The 16,958-nt window shown below is 39.1% G+C and overlaps 2 long non-coding RNA genes across 2 annotated transcripts in view; one reads left to right on the top strand and one right to left on the bottom strand.

Annotated features, from left to right (window-relative positions):
* LINC02122 (long intergenic non-protein coding RNA 2122) overlaps positions 1-16,958 on the top strand; it is a 68,866-nt gene that overhangs the window by 46,853 nt on the left and 5,055 nt on the right. The window lies entirely within an intron of this gene.
* LOC105379035 (uncharacterized) lies at positions 1,831-16,225 on the bottom strand. The gene is made up of 3 exons (XR_948476.3): positions 15,899-16,225; positions 14,115-14,200; positions 1,831-2,582 (listed from the first exon to the last, which is right to left on the bottom strand). It is a non-coding gene; the product is annotated as an uncharacterized LOC105379035 (long non-coding RNA).

The raw sequence follows: 16,958 nt of genomic DNA, 5'->3' as shown, positions 1-16,958 counted from the left end.
TCTACACAGAGGTGGGCAGATGAATGTTCCCCTTAACCTGAGAAAGTCCCTCCGGGTTTCTAGACTGCATGGGTTCGAGAACAGCTTGGCACATAGTACCAGAGATGCTGAGAAAGGGGAAAAAGTGGCTCAAAAAACCAGTTCATCATCTCACAGTAAACCCCCATCTGAGGGGATGCTTCTCTTCAGCCTGTCTGGGAGGTAGTGTTTATAGAGGCACAGCTCATGTTTTCCAGAAGAATAGAACTTCCCTTGTCCTCCAATATTCTCTCCCTCTGGAAACTTATTTATGGTCTGATGTGTTGAAACAATAAACATGGGTGCACGGCTGGGGGCATGGGGGAAGGAGGGGTGTAGGATAGGAAAGGGGTTTCCCAGCTTTGTGTGAGAAGTGAAAAGGAGGTGGCAGCTTTCACAGACCAATTCGAGCCCTTTTCTTCCTGCCAGAGTGCAACTGCCAGCTGAGGCCCGACACCTTTTTTTATTGTGTGAAGACAGGAAAGAGATCTCTCAATTATCTTCAAATTAACTGCCTCTTGCCATTATCTGCTCCCTGAGGACCAATCAGAGCGTGTGTTTGAAAAAACTGGGAGTCAGCCTACCACTTCATCCACTCTCTGGGACCCCTTCCTGCCTACCCCCTCCCACACGCCCAGCCAAAATCATCTGTGCTGCCATTTCTCATGACAAACTTTAATGCTTTAATTAGGAGGCATCTGCGTGTCCACTCTTCACAAACACCATATGGTGCTCAGTACGAAATATGTTTCATTTTCATGAAGGCAAAGCCTTAGGAAAGGGTAGCGTTTTGAATATCAATTGTTGTTTCCACATTGGGTGAAGAATAAATTTGCTGTGCTTTAAAAGAGACAACAGTGTTGAAAAAAATGAAGGGGTTTGTTCTCTACCTGGCAAAACTTGGAGGAAAAATGTCTTATGTTGGAACAAAGCAGAATTTTACTTTTAAGGCTCAGAAATTCAGAGCCTTTTAGAAGTGCGTTGCAAGAATCTTCTAAACATTCCAAGGATTTAAGATAAGAGATGTGCTGAACTAAAGTTTCAGATTTTAAGCAGAATGGTAAAATAGCCATCTCTTTCACAATGAATCGTTAGAAAATGTGGGACCCAGTCTTAGAATGCTGAAAAGGCACCCACTTAGCAAAGCATTCTGCCTATACTTAGGAGAATGGCTTTTCAAGGGCATACTTTACAGGGAAAATTAACTACTTTGCTTCTTTGACAGCCATCGACTGACTTGAGAAATATGGCCCAATGGGATATAGTCTTTGGATTTGTTTTCTTTTCAAATATTGCATCCTTGAAATAACAAATCTAAGTTTTTCAAAGTTCACATTTTTTTTCTAAAATTCAAGGGCTTCAACGAGGCCAAGTTTCAGAATCTTTTCTCCAGTGAGGAACAGGGGGAGATACAGGCCAAATTCCAACATGGGCCTTTTCCTGCTTTTATGCAAATCACTCAACATGCAAATGATTAAATAATTAAACCATTATGCTGTTTAAATAAGCCATGTATATTTTCTTCATTGCTCAGACCAGCTACCATTCTTTTGTTGGAGCAATAGGAAAGGGTTAGGAAAAGTCCCCGTGGAGAGTGAGGGATTGGACCAGAAAGGGCTATAATTAGTCATTTTTGTTTAAAATAAATAAAGCAGTTGATGCTATGGAGTGAACACCAATCCCCTGTCCCCAAATGAGGGGACTGGTTTCTTTCTTCGTTGTCACCAAGGACCCCTGTTCTTCACTCTGGCCGGGTGTCAGTCACCTCAGTTTTCTGTTAGACTCGACTACATAATTATGAGCTACCACATGTGGCTTCTGAGACACAACTTTAATTATCCAAACTCTAGCACACAACAGACTCTGAATTGAGTGAACAAAAGCCTATTAGAAGGTAATCCCCTGTGGCCACATTGTAATTATTGTCAGGGGCCATGGTGGCTATGGAATTATCTCTGCAATATCTCGCTAACCTTCTATGCTAGAGTCATATGAATGATGATTTGTGCCATAATCTCATTTCTTTTAATGGTGTGACACAGAAAATAAAGGGGCAGTGGGAGGGTGGGGTAGGGAGGCGCTGCCTGGCTCTGGCACGAAACTCAATTCAGAAGGCCACCACAGATGTGCAAACACAGAACATCCAGCAATTATTGCTATGATAGCCTCTGTCCTCACACCCAGCAAGCAAGGAGCTGGGAACAGTGGGGCATTACTACTCACAAAGCTAGCAACTGAGGCACCCAGCAAGAGCAGCAAAGGCCCCTGGAGAGGAAAATAAGTAGGAACCACCCAGTGACGTGGCTTCTTTTCCAAAGATTTTCATAAACGCATAAAGGATTATTCCACTGCAATGGAAAGTTAAAAGACACTGACATGATGCTCATGGACCTTTTCTATACTATACCTACGAATGCTTTACCCCCACAAGCTGCTCATATTTTATTCTTTGGACTCCTTGAGTAGTACATTTTGCAATTCAATCCAGCTTTTTAACTTCTTTACAATGTGCAGTAGACTGGTCAGCTTCTGTTCAGAACCCTCAAGTCAGCTTGATCATGCAACTGTTAAAGGAACATGGAGAGAAAAAGTATTAGGTTCAAAAACTGCTATTTCAATTGCTTGTTGTTGTTTGTTTTTTTTAGAGATCGAGTCTTGCTCTGTCGCCCAGTCTGAAGTGCAGTGGGGAGATTCTGGCTCACTGCAACCTCCACTTCCCAGGGTTAAATGATTCTCCTGCCTCAGCCTTCAAGTAGCTGGGATTACAGGCGCATGCCGTCATGTCTGGCAAATTTTTTTTGTATTTTAGGAGAGACAGGGTTTCACCGTGTTGTCCAGGCTGGTCTTGAACTCCTGAGCTCAGGCAGTCCGCCCACCTCAGCGTCCCAAAATGCTGGGATTACAGGTATGAGCCACCGTGCCCGGCCCTTCAATTGCTTCTTTAACAAAATTGCTTTACTGGCTTTCTTTGTATTTTATTGGCTGGACAGATAATGATTTAATCACAGCATAGCCTCCTACATTACAAACATAGGAAAGCTCTGGTTTGTCACCATAGAACTTAATGACTAAACGGTATCATCATATTATCACAATGCTTTTTTCTTTCCTGCAGTTCTAATATTTTTCTCAGACCTAATATGTTCTTGGAAGATGTACTTGAACACACTTACCTCCATCCCAAGACAGCTTCTCTTCATGATTTATCTGTGTCTGTCATCGCTTCCAAATTGGCAAACAGAGGCATTCAAGGATATGCATAATGTGGAAATTCAGCGTATGAATTTCATTTATTTTCCCTTACTTCCACATGCCACATAAGCTTTCTAAACTAAATGCTAAGCGTTCCTTATTTCCCACCTTGCTGGGTTAGTGTGCTCTGTTCCCTCAGACAGGAATGTTCTTATTTATTTCCCATCCTACCCCTGATTACAACATCCTATGCATCCTTCCTGGACAATCTCAAGTACAGCTTACCTCTGCTTATTTTCCAAGGGGCTGTAGTTCTCACCTTCTTGGAACCTAAACAGCATTTTCTTTAGCATGTTCACCTCTCTCAGCACTTACTACCTCATTCCACCGTGCAATATAATCACCTGGGTGTTTCTCGCTATCTCTTTCCAGAGAGTAAGCCCCTAAAGGCAGAGATGAGGAATTACTCATCAGTTATGCATTCATTCAACCATCTATCCATGCAATAGATATTTGTCCATTTTTGGCCCAAGAACATTTATTGAGCATCTGTTAAATTCTAGGGATTGTTTCAGGCAATGAGGGTCCAAGGTTAAGAAAGACTAGGACACATTTCTCACGGTCCCTATCATCAGGAACTTAGAGTTTAGTAGAGAGAAACATCTACAGTATCATTTAGAGTGTCAGTGTTCAGAAAGGAGTGATCCTCAGTGAAGCCATAGCCAGCTCAGTGCCAAATTTGTGGCAGCTCCTCCTATTTGTTAAATTTGGTCAGAGGTAAACTGAGTAAGCCCAATTCCCCCCAAACTCATTTTTGAATATGAATAGCTTTACCTAAATGTGCTAAGATGTGTTATCCCTGATGATTCCTAAACTGGACATTTTCAGGGATATATAGCTTCAGCAATTCCTATCATTCAAAAGGCAAAAGACCCAGCACAAACTCTTCATGCATAAAACCTTCAGAGATGCTTTCTGGAAGCACATTCAGTAACATGAGTTGGAAGGTAGCAAGGAGTAGGGGAGGGGAAGCTTTAAAAATTGCTCCTTGAGAATATTCTGGTCCCTTTCTTTCGGCTGACAACTCCAATATCAGCATTTTTGGTGTCAGACCAGGGAAGTCTTCGCAGAGGAGGTACCCTTTGATCTGCATCAGAATGATCAAAGTTCATCTAAAAATCCATGGTAGGAAAAGTAAGTTGCTGGATTAATATCACCACTTTGCCTCATGCTATCTTTCATCTCTATCCCTACTCTCTACAAGATAGAGGTTATCTGTTTAAAATTGCTTTGATATCTTATTGTTTTATACAATTCTTCCTACTGAGATTTAAAGCTGCAGATAGAAAAAAACAAATGCAATATAAAAGCTGGAATTTAGTTAGTAGTAATGTTACCAATGTTGATTTCTTGGTTTTGACATATGTATGACACTTCCTATGTAAAGGGAAATTGGATGAAAGGTACAGTGTTTCTCTGCATTATCTTTGGAACTTTTTTGTAAATCTAAAATTATTCCAAAATAAAAATGTATATAAACAATAAACAAATATACCTCTCCTAAGTAGTCAATGATAAACAGGAATATTTGTTTTGTTTCCAAATATCATTTGCAAACAGGAAACAAATATGCCTTCCCCTTGCCCATATTGGTCCCTGTTTATGCTCTCATACATTCTTTCCTCAAGCTGATCTGATGATGCAAAGCATGGGCCCGCTCACCCCATCTGTAACCTCTTGAGCTCTTGAACTCTCTGAATGCAATTATAGGTCAAAGTCTTCTTGATTGGATTGGAAGAGGTGGCCCAAGTGACATTTTGCCTTGAGGCGCTAATAGTGACATAGGCTATCCCTGGGGTTCTGACCACAGCTCTGTCATTAGCCAGCTACCATTGTTTTGTTAATCTAATGCATGGTTCCATAGGAAATAACAGAGTAAAGGCTTATTAAAGGTGAAGGCTTCATCCATTAAAATGTTCTTTGTCCTTAATGAAGGTCAGTAGAAGACGGATTGTAGGAGGAAATCTTGCTTTATGCTCACCCATATGTCTTAATTAATCACCATGTCAAGCAAGTCCTCAGACTGGATTTGTGTTTGCCCTTATTCTTTAAAAGTTGTCGGAGCAGCGGTTACTGAAACAAACTCAGTGCACTCTGCCATCAGAAAACCGTGTGCTGTACAGCATCCTCCAACCTATGTATCTGAATTTATTTTCTGAAATATTTTCAAGTATGTTTTTCTTTTAATCTCTAATTTCACTAAGACTTTTAGATTTGCACTTGTCCAATATGGTAGCCACTAGTTACATACGGTTATTGAACCCTTAAAATGTGGCTAGTATAAATTGAGAGATGCTGTAAGTGTAGTTTGCTCACTGGATTTCAAAGACTTAGTACAAAAAAAGCAAAATCTCATTGATAGTTTTTGTATTGATTACATGTTAAAATTATAATATTCTTAAAATGTATTGAGTTAAATAAAATGTATTATTAGATTTTATTTCACCTGCTTGTTTTTCCTTTTTTTGATGTGGCTAGTAGAAAATTTGGAATTGCCTATGTGACCCAAATTATATTTTTGTCAGTTAACAAAATTTCCTTAGAGGATCCAGCAAAATATGTTTAGTGACTGCCTGGAACTACCTACCTTCTTCAAAAACCTATTTTAGACCTGACTTATAGGCAGTGGGGACATGGTACAAAGTGATTTTCCTTCATTCTCCATGACATAGTAAGTTAATAAAACTAGACCTAGTTGTTCCACTTGGCTCACAGTAAAAAAAAAAATTATGCAATTGAGAATCTACATGCCACTAAACTCTTAGAGGATCATGAGCTGTTTTAGGCATTGGAGATGCATACGAGATACCATCTCTCTGTAGGCCATTGGTTCTTTTCCTTGCTTGATCCTTTCTTTCCTCCTACCTCCCCAGATATTTACCACCTACTTTGACAGCTTCTTCTAATGTGTTTCCAAATGATCTTTATCTTTTATAATAGAGCCTCTGCAGCTTGACTGAGAGCTTCTTGAAGACAAAGCCTATATCTTAGTCATTGCCCTGTATTGCTCCCTCTACGGACCAGGCACTTAATGAGTTGCTCTATTTGATATATATCACAGGAATAATAATAAGAATAGGATCATTTATTGAACACTAATATATGTCTGATCTTTTTTATAGATGCTTTTCCTGTATTCTCTCATGGAACTATTAGGTAGATACAAAATCACCTATATTTTACATTTGAGGAAATTAAAGGTTGACTTGATAAGGTGGAGTTCATGCTCAGCCTGTGGTGAAAGCATAGAAAGATTGAAACTGGTTCTGGAGAGTCCTTTCAACAAGGGCACTGGTCCCTAGAAACAAAGAGCCACATTCCAGCCTTTCCATCTGCTACTCTCATTCTGGAAAGATGGTTGGATGAACACTAAGTTATTTAATTTAGATAACAATCTGTCCCACACATCCACACACCAAAAATACACGTTGATGGCCTGTTCTGGTGGAGCTGCTTAACATGGCAGCCCCATCCTCTGGAGTGAGAACAGGCTGAGGCCTCCACCCATGCCTGTGCCCAGAGTGCTAACTGGCTGGCTCATCCGGGCAAGCTCAAATCTTCATCAACCATTGTGACTGGGGACAGTCATGTCACTCATTGTTCTTGGGGAACATTATGACTTGGGCTATTTCTTGCAGCTGTGGGTTGATGTTTCCACAGTCTACTTGACAACTTAGAACAAAACATCTGGGAAAAAAACAATGATAACAGACACATGGCATTACTGAAACTCTCTTCTCCTAAAGAGTTATAGGCAAAGGGTATATAGCGGTGGAGGGAGGAGGAGACCTAGGGAGAGTCAGGGTAAGAGGCAGACAGTGAGCATCAGGTGAAATGGTAAAACGTCCACTGAGGGTCACAGGTGATATGATTCTAGTTCTGGCTCTGATGTCAATTAGTTTTATGACCTTAATTCACCTTACCAGAGTCTCAGTTGTTCATCATTAAATTAATGAGGTGATTTTGTCCCTAGAATTCATCAAAGAAACTACAACAGCATATTAAATGCTATTGTAAATATATTTCCATTTTCCAAAAAAAGGGCAAGTGCATAAACTGAATTCCCCCCTGCCAATCCTCTTCCCTGTAAATAGTACATGGAACATGTTACTGCCAGGGAAACTCATTAGAAGCAGTGTAAACTCAGAGCAAGTAGTACATACATGTTTATACTTCAACCAGCCAACATAAGGCATTAACATGAAGGTTGGGTCAATTTTCTAAACTGTAGAAATGGCTTCCTGGCTCTTGAGGTACAATGTGAAACGGTCTCCCAAATGATCATGGGTCTGTAGGAGCTTGGCTTGTCATTCATAACAGCAGTTTTTGAAAATTTCTTTCTCCAGTAGCAATTAAATTTTATACTGTGCATCGTTTATGAGATATTTTCTGCTTCTAGCTGAGTCCTATTAACCATAGAACACAAAAAGACTATCGCTCACAAGATCTAATCCCTCACAAGATCTGAAATAAGAGCACAATGCAGCTGTCCCAAACTTTTAAAACATTGCTTATAAGTAGCATGTATACAATAATTTCTTTCCTGTCTACATAAAGTTTCTGGTGAGTATACGTTTCTAGGTCTCATGGGAATACAGATGAGTTTGGAGAACACATAATATGAAGCACTATATTTGAATTGTCTGGGATATTCAGTTCTTTCACAAAGCATTGTTATTTGTAAATGTTAGCATCTAATTTTAGATGTGTCTTTCTAATTTGAAATAGTAAGCCCTTTGGGCATCAACCATGACTAATTGTATGTTTTGAAGAGTACTTAGTGCATGGTTGGTGCTCAATAAATGTTAAATAATGAAAATACTAACAATAATCATATTTTTTTAGCACATTGAGCAAAGACTGCTCCTAAATTATGTTTCTGTGTACAGCTCAGTGCATTGTTGGCAGGCAAACAACATGGAATGATAACAACACCAAATGGTCCTCTTTTATTTTCCCAGAAATAAAAGGGGAATTTAGTGACACTTAAGCTGATTTTAGGGTTTGTAGGAGGTAGATAATGGCTTCCCAAAGATGTCTGTGTTCTAATCCTTGGAACCTTTCAGTATGTTAGGCTACAGGACTGTAGATGGAATTAAGGTTGCTAATCAGCTGGCTTTGAGATGGGGAGAGGAGCCTGGACTATCCAGGTGAAATCAATGCAGTCACAAGGGTTCTTATGAATAAAAAAGAGGCAGATAGAAGAATCAGATGGATCGAAGAGAGATTTGAAAATGGTGCCCTACTGGCTTTGACAATGAAAGGAGGTGCCATGAGCTAAGGAATGCAAGTGGCTTCTAGAAGCTGAAAAACGATTCTCCCCTAGAGCCTCCAGAAGGAACACAGTCCTGCTGACACCTTGATTTTCGGACTTCTGATCTTCAGAACTATAAGATAAAAAATGTGTGGTGTTTTAAACCACTAATTTTGTGATAATTTGTTACAGCTATGATACAAAACAAATACAAGGTCTTATTAGCATAGACACATGGACTATCATTGATAGTGGTTTTATGTGCTCTGAGTACAACTTGGAATATTTCTCAGCATTATGTCAAAAAGACAATAGGAAAATCAGAATACAAAATCTCAGATTTCTAAGACCATCATTATTCAGAAGTGTGTACATGAATGATGGAAGCCCAGGAGACAATGTGAATAGTTGTTTAAGGCCTGTGAAGTTGTAATTTTTTCCTTTTTTGAAAGTCCCTTCAATGCTGTCCTAACAGTTTTAATAATATAGTTTGTAAAAAAAAGAAAAATCTCATTTTTTTGGAAATGCACATGTGGACTAGTATTTTCAGACAGATACACTTCCCAAAAGCTACATGATCACATGTAGTTCTTAGAGAATATTTTTTTTCCAGATCTTCAACTTCTGCCTGTACTTTTTCCTAAAATTTAACTTGCTCCAAGAATGAGAACATGCCTGTATCTCCCAAAGCCCTTTGGTCTGTATAAAAGAGAGGCCAACTGCTCACACATCTCGAATCTTACTCTGGATCCTAGTAGCAGTGATAAGGCTTTCCCAGAGCACCAAACAAAGGGGATACATTCTTTGGGCACCAGAAACCCCTAGGACTCCAGTCTTCCCCAGCTCTAGGGGCATTTTGGCCCACACCTGGATGTTCTAAACTCAGATCTATGGTGGAACAGTTTGATAGAATAATGACTTTTTATTACTTTTCTTCTTCTGTCCCCCAGCTATGGTCAGAATACCTTATTTCCAAGGAAGAGTCCCAGGGCCCCAAACCAAAGAGCACAGAAAAATACTGAACTCCAGAAAGAGCTTTTCCCCCATCCCATATTTAAATAAAAGTTATAATAATCAGCTATTCTCAAAGTCTTCCCTGGAATGTCACGACCCTAAAAAGAAAAACACAAATAGTCAAAATAGTATAGACTTCTGTGTTTATTCTTTCAAATGTAAATGGAGTATTTTCTGCATTACTATGATCTTCAAAATACACTAGAAAACTCTTGGATAATTTTAATAATTTTTTTACATTGGATGTATATGCTTAGTAAGATATCTAAAATGTATTTTATCAAATTATATCATGAGCTATATATCCCAACTATGGTCAATTTTTGTCTTATTTCATCTAATGTTAAATATTTTCTATCTCATATTTCCAAAAAATTAATTATATGCTAGCTGCCAAATAATTAGCTTTTACTGGTATATACTTTTCTCTCTCATTAAATATAAGGGTGAATGTCTAATGAAATTAATACAGCTATTTTTTGATACATGATTCTACCTTTTCTCCTAAAAGTCAGAGTTTGAGACACACATGCACATAAGTTTACCAAAAGTTATGACAATTACCAATAAATTTTTGGAACTCCTTGTGTCATATATAACTTATTATCTTACCTACAAATTACCTTGCATTATTATCAATTAGAACAGCATAAAGCTGGGCGTGGTGGCTCATGGCCTGTAATCCCAGCACTTTGGGAGGCCAAGGTGGGCGGATCATGAGGTCAGGAGTTCAAGACCAGCCTGGCCAATATAGTGAAACCCCATCTCTACTAAAAATACAAAAATTAGCTGTGTGTGGTGGCAGGCCCCTGTAATCCCAGCTACTCAGGAGACTGAGGCAGAAGAATCGCTTGAACCCAGGAGGTGGAGGTTGCAGTGAGCCGAGATCATGCCACTGCACTCCAGCCTGGGCAACAAAGCGAGATTCTTTTTTTTTTTTTTTTTTAAAAGACATATTTATAATTCTGTATTTACATTATAAAAATGAGCTAATTATATTTGTCATCATTTTAATCTTGACCTGACTTGTCTTACAAGATGCATTTCATAATTTCTCTTTAGATCTTATAATATTTGATAAAACATATTAACATGTTTGTTGAAAATTGAAGTCATACTTTTTTTGACAGGAAGTAATTCTAATTTGGCTAATTTGTTGGAATGTTAATTTGGACTTTGCCAATTAGAGTTCATGACCAACATTTCCCATAATTAAATGAGTTTGTAGCTTCGGCTTCTGGAAAAAAAAATATGTATTTAAAGCATAAGAAAAGAACATTTAGCACAAAAAGGTAGTATTGGCAAAAATATAATAAAACCAGTAATATATTCCTAACTTAAAATATATATATAGATATATATAGTGAAATAGAGTGCCTCTAAGTGAAAGAATAAAAGTTTAGGCCAGGTATGATGACTCGATGGCTCACATCTGTAATCCCAGCACTTTGGGAGGCCAAAAAAAGGATAGCTTGAGCCCAGGAGTTCAAGAGACCAGCCGGGCAACATCGTGAGACCTCATCTCTACTAAAAATAAAATATAAATTTAAAACAATTGGCTGGGTGTGGTGGCATGCGCCTGTAGCCCTAGCTACTTGGAAGGCTGAGGGGAAAGGATCACTTGACCACAGGAATTCAAGGCTGTAATGAATTATAACTATGCCACTGCACTTCAGCCTAGGCAACAAAGGGAGGACCTGTCTCAAAAAGTTCAACTGATGATCATTTAATAAATCTTGGTATGTTTTTGATATACGGGACTTACCAGAAATTGAGACAGCAGATGGCTATAATGCCAAATTATTTTGCAAGCAAAGTGGTTTCCAATCCTTGATTTGAACAGAACTGAAGTACCTAATAAAGTTGTCAGCTAAATTATCCTTAAATATAAATTTTGATGATAGATCATTATGTGATTTTTTTTTTTTTTGGCTCAGGAAAAGTTCAAAGAAGTGAAATGTGATAAAGTTCTTCATTATCTCCTTATTTGTATGAAGAAAACTTCTCAGGTGCAGTGGCTCATGCCTGTAATCCCAGCACTTTGGGAGGCCAAGGCAGACAGATCACCTGAGGTAAGGAGTTCAAGACCAGCCTGGCCAACATGGTGAAACCTCGTCTCTACTGAAAATACAAAAATTAGCCGGGCATGATGGTGCAAGCCTGTAATCCCAGCTACTTGGGAGACTGAGGCAGGAGAATCGCTTGAACCTGGGAGATGGAGGGTGCAGTGAGCCAAGATGGTGCCATTGCACTCCAGCCTGGGTGACAGAGCGAGACTCCCATCTCCAAAAAAAAAGAAAGAAAGAAAATTTCTCAGTGTTTCCATTTATAAAACTAAAAAATAGAAATAAAATTGATGTTGGCCTCTATCTTATTCTAGAAATAAGTCACACAACACATGAAACTACTTAAAAAACAAAACAAAAATTCTGCTCCATTTATTTGATGAGAAGCCACAAATCCTTAAAATGTTTTCTCTTTGTGTCAATTACATTATTTATAAAATTATGTTATATGTTTAGGTTGTTTTGATCAATTGAATGCCTATAAGAAGTAAAATAATAAGTGTATCTGAAAGAAATTTTTAACCTTTAGAGCAGCTCTGTTCAATAGAATGTCCTGCATCAATACTAACGTTTTCTATCTGTATCCACGCATCAACTACTGACTAGCCACTGTGGCTATCGGGCTCTTGTGACTAATATGGGGAAACTAAGTTTTTAACTTTTTCATTTTTGTTCATTTAGATTTAGATAGCAACAGGTGCTAGTGGCTACCATATTGGGATAGTGCAGATTTACAGCCTTATGAATACAGAGAATAAAGCAAATTTCCAGTTCATATGCATATTTTTCTTGTATGTATACAAAAAATGTATGATAGGGGAATAAGTAAAAGGTTTAAAGACTACTATATTTTTACATAAATACCTTATATACATTTAGATTAAATCTTGTGTGGTAATAGGTTGAAAATCTAGATTCAAGGGGGAAAAAGATTTAAATTTTCCAAATGTCAGAGTACATCATGCTCATCTAGTATATTTTCTAACTGGATCATGTGAATATTAAATCTTTATAGTATTTAGATTCTTTGGACACAGTTAAAAGAATAATGTAGCAGGCTTTTTTTAATGTCAATATTTATAATGTATAAGGATTATATCCTTAATGTTCACATTTCAGTGATTCCAAGGGACATATTTTTCATTTTAACATCTGTTAAATTGGGGTGTATCTTATAAAAATGGTAAGCATTTATTTTTTCTTATCTGTTCATAATACTGTGAAAGAAATATATCTTGCAATCAATGGACTATTAGATTCTATGGGCTATGACATTTAAACTTAAGATAAAAATTTTAGATATCGACTTGAAAATGTGTAGGGGTACATAGTTCCTAAAAATTCTGCAACTATGTGAGCAAAAACATTTGTAGACCAAGGATGTAGATCACTTCCTGCTGAAGTTCAGTGTTTTCATCACAGCTTCTTTGCCTGCACAGAAGAGAGAGTTGCCTAAGCCGGTCGGGAAGGGGTTGGGAATTGGAGCGTCATCATGTAAGAATGTGGGCATCTCAAGAGTGTAAGTGCAGAGTGCTCAGCACAGCCTGGTCTCAGGAACTGGAAAATTCATCTTCCCAGGACCTCTCATCATTTCTTACGGGCCATAAACTTTCTCCTCTCTGGTTTTCTCTTATATCTGTCCCCACTTTCCTGATTCTCTTAGCAGAAAGCTTTCTCCATTCATCCATCAAGGACCAGATAATAGCCTCAGACCTGAGTCTATGCAACCTTCCAGCTCCACAGCCCACAGCTGGCTGCTCTCAATTACTCGCTGTTCCCAAACCAAAGAGAGGGTTCTGATTTTTCCAGCTCAGATGAGACGTCCACTCCTGATCTAAACAGTTGGGGCTTGGATGGATACACCATTTATGTAATGCAAACATCGCTGGGGGAGGCGATTAGTGGGTGGAAGCAGTTCCTGAAGATGAGAGCTGTGAGTAGGAAGGCAGCCACAAACATAGCAACGAGGGGCAGCAGTTTCAATAGCTGACATCAACATTGTTCCTACGATTGCTAGGCACCATGCTAATGGCTTCAAATAGATTAACTCGTTTAATCCTCAACACAAACCTAGGAATGAGGTTTAATATCCACATATTAGAGAGGAGGAAACTGAGGCACAGAATGTTTAACTAATTGCCCAAGGTCAAACATTTGATAAGTGTCAGAGCCTGGCTCTGTCAACCTGTCAAGCTAAACTGCCTCAGCAATTTCCTCTCTTTGTCTAGAGACTTGCTTATGACAACAGCACTAAGTATAGAGTATTCTGTATCAGTAAATAGTGCCTAATAGGGAAAAATGGTAGCAACCAAAATTTATCATATGACTAAAAGCCATAGGATATTTTGGAAATTAGCAGGCAAGGAGAGAGGAACTATAGCATTTTTAATACCTACTTCACTCCTGGCACTTTATATGTATTACATTTTATACACACTATAGTAGAAGTAAGTATTAAAACCTCATTTTACTATTGAAGGAACTGAAGGTCAGAGGATTGAGTAACTTACCCATGGTCCCACAGCTAAGAAGCAACAGAGTCAGAGTCCTGACTCAGGGCTGACACCCAGGCCTGCAGATTTTCCTGTACATCCCTCTGTCAGATTAGTGTCAAGTCAAATAAGGTGACATGCAAGACAGAGAATAATTCAGTCAATCATGAAACAAACCAAAATGAGAGTCAACTTCCTCAAAGCAAAGTCATTTTTTAAATTCACTTACAGATGTGTGCTTGATTAGTCTGATTAAATATATATACTCTCTATATCTTTTTGCCTCTACAAGCATCAATCTAGCTGTTCCTTAATTCTGTTACACGTATTGAAGTTTCTACTGAAACAAGGAAGAGGTTTGTCCAATTCTTTCCCTAAGACATGACTGCTGGATAAAGTTTATTTTTGCTCTGCCCTTCCTCGTAGCTGGCTCTTTGCCTGTTGATTTAAAATGAATTTTCAGGGGCTCATAGAACAAGAAGAATTTTAACTCTTAAAAATTAACCACAAAGACAGGAACAGATCTTTTTAAAATACCTTGTTTAATATTGGTACACTGTGAGGGGTTAACAAATGAGAAGTAGGGTCCTATTAGTCTCTTATCATACTAAGAAACCATCTTGCCATACTTAGCTTGGTAGTCATTGCAGATAGAATGTGCCATCTGTGAATGGAATAAGCACAAACCATTTGAACTACAGGGTACTCCAAAAGCCTTTTTTGAGTTCACTTACATGTTGTATTTTTTATTTGTTCAATCTTGCATTCACTCAGCTCATAATACACCTGCTCAGCTGTAACTGAGATGGAGATATCTCACCAATAAAGGCAAGACAGGAATTCAGAGCACTGGGTTTAAATGTAAAATCAAAAAGTAGTGGGGCCCACATGCGTGAATGAGCCAGAGGAGAGGTGGCACCTGGCCAGCTGGACTCCCAGTGCAACTGCCTCAGTGGGGAAGCAGCGTGTGCGTGACAGAGTATACCACGTGCCAGATGCTATGCAAGTCTTCACCTGTGTCATCTCATTGAGTGTCCCCTTCACAGCAACCCTTTGAGGGAGGACTTCATAAGCCATGTGTTCCAGATGAGGAAACTAAAGCTAAGAGAAGGTAACTAAACTGATTAAACTGAGGGGTTACACAGCTAGCAAGTTGACTTGGCTATAAGTCAAAATCAGTCCTGAATAACTCCAAAAACCACATTCCTCCTACTTCACCATGAGACCTTCCACTGATACAACCCTCAGGGGCTCGTCAGAGGAATAAGCAACTAAGAATTATTCATCAAAACTTCCTAGAAGAATCCCTGCTTATAGTGTGTTAAATTGTATTTCATTAGCAGAGCTGCATCTCATTCCTGGCCTCCCTGCTTCTATGCCCACACATCATTGTGTTTACTCTCTTACTAAGACCCGATTTCCCATACAATAATATTCTAGGGCTTACCCTGCATAGGGGAGGAAAGACATTGAGGGGACTTGAGACTCACTGAAAGAACTAGGTTTTGTAGGAGATCAAGAAGGGGCAAGTCAAAGTAATAGAAGAAAAATTAACCTGAGAAAGGGGGAGGGAACTTTTTCTTCTGAGATATGAAGGAAACATGAGAAAACAAATTTAAAGCCAGACTCTGGGAGGTAGAGTGTTCTTAGAAAGGAATCTCATATAAGAGATATTATGTATGAAAAAACCTTTCAAAAAGATGCTACACAGACATAGGATCTTTGGGCATCTGCCAAGAGTCATAAAAGAAAATCCGGCTCAAGAGATGAAAGTAATATTCTGTAATAATGAGAATACTCACCATGCTGGGCTCCTGTGCTGTGGAAACACTCATTCCAAAGTAATGTTCATGTGTGGGACACTGAGATACACCACCCAGACCTCCCTGAAATAAGAGCTTGTTGTCCCAGCTGCTGGAAGTCTGTCAACAGACAGCCTTCAGCTGCCATCCCTTCAGGCAAGCTGCCTTGCTCATGATCAAGCCCCTCCTGGGCAGCCCATATCTAGTGACTAATAGCTTTGGAGTAAGAAGACCTTGCCATCTGGCTCAACTCTAGCAAGACCATTCTAGCTCAAGAGCTCTCATGAGCTCAGCCAGGCCGTCACTGGGCCTGCACCACATTTCAACTTCTTCCTCTACCCAGTTCTGCCTTAGTCTCTTCCTGTGGAATGCATAGATCCCAAGGACCCTCCTTATAAATATCCTGCACACTAGATTCTATCTCAGAGCCTGCTTCTGCAGCAGCCCAACCTGCAGTAGTACTTTTTATGAGCAAGGGGCCAAGAGCAAAACAGAAAACTGGTATCCCCCTAAGTCCATTCAGACTATCATAAGACAGCACAAAATTGCTCCTTCTCGGGCTTGGGTAACTGTTTAAGCAGGTCTCTGCTAGCTGAGTTATTACCAAATCAGCCTGTCATACTGCAATATTCTTCTTTGCAAAGAACTCACATGATTTATTCTTATTTGTAAAACTTTGTGAGATTAGGCTGTTTCGTCTTTACACATATTCACTTAACAAGATTTAGTAAACACCTACCCAGGCACTGCACTAAGAACTGAGGGAGTGGAAATGAAAAAAAGTCCCAGCCATTACCAGGCTCCCAGATGAGTAGAGGGCACAAACTCCAAAACACATGAGACATACAGTGGAAGCCTGAACACAATCTTTTGTGAGTCCACATGATGGCATAATTTGGAGTTTCAGGATGGCAGAAGAGGAGGCCAGAATACACAAGCTATTGCCTTCATTGCAGGCATTTGACCATAGTAATGAGCAATACAGACTCTGGAGTGAGACTATGTGAGTTTGACTCCTGCCTTCATCATCTTCTAGTTCTCCCTAGGTAAGCTATGACAT

This window comes from Homo sapiens, chromosome 5 (genome assembly GCF_000001405.40).
Source record: "Homo sapiens chromosome 5, GRCh38.p14 Primary Assembly".
Classification (NCBI taxonomy): domain Eukaryota; kingdom Metazoa; phylum Chordata; class Mammalia; order Primates; family Hominidae; genus Homo; species Homo sapiens.
Note: the sequence above shows the minus strand (reverse complement) of the source record. Positions and strands in the feature narration are given on the sequence as shown.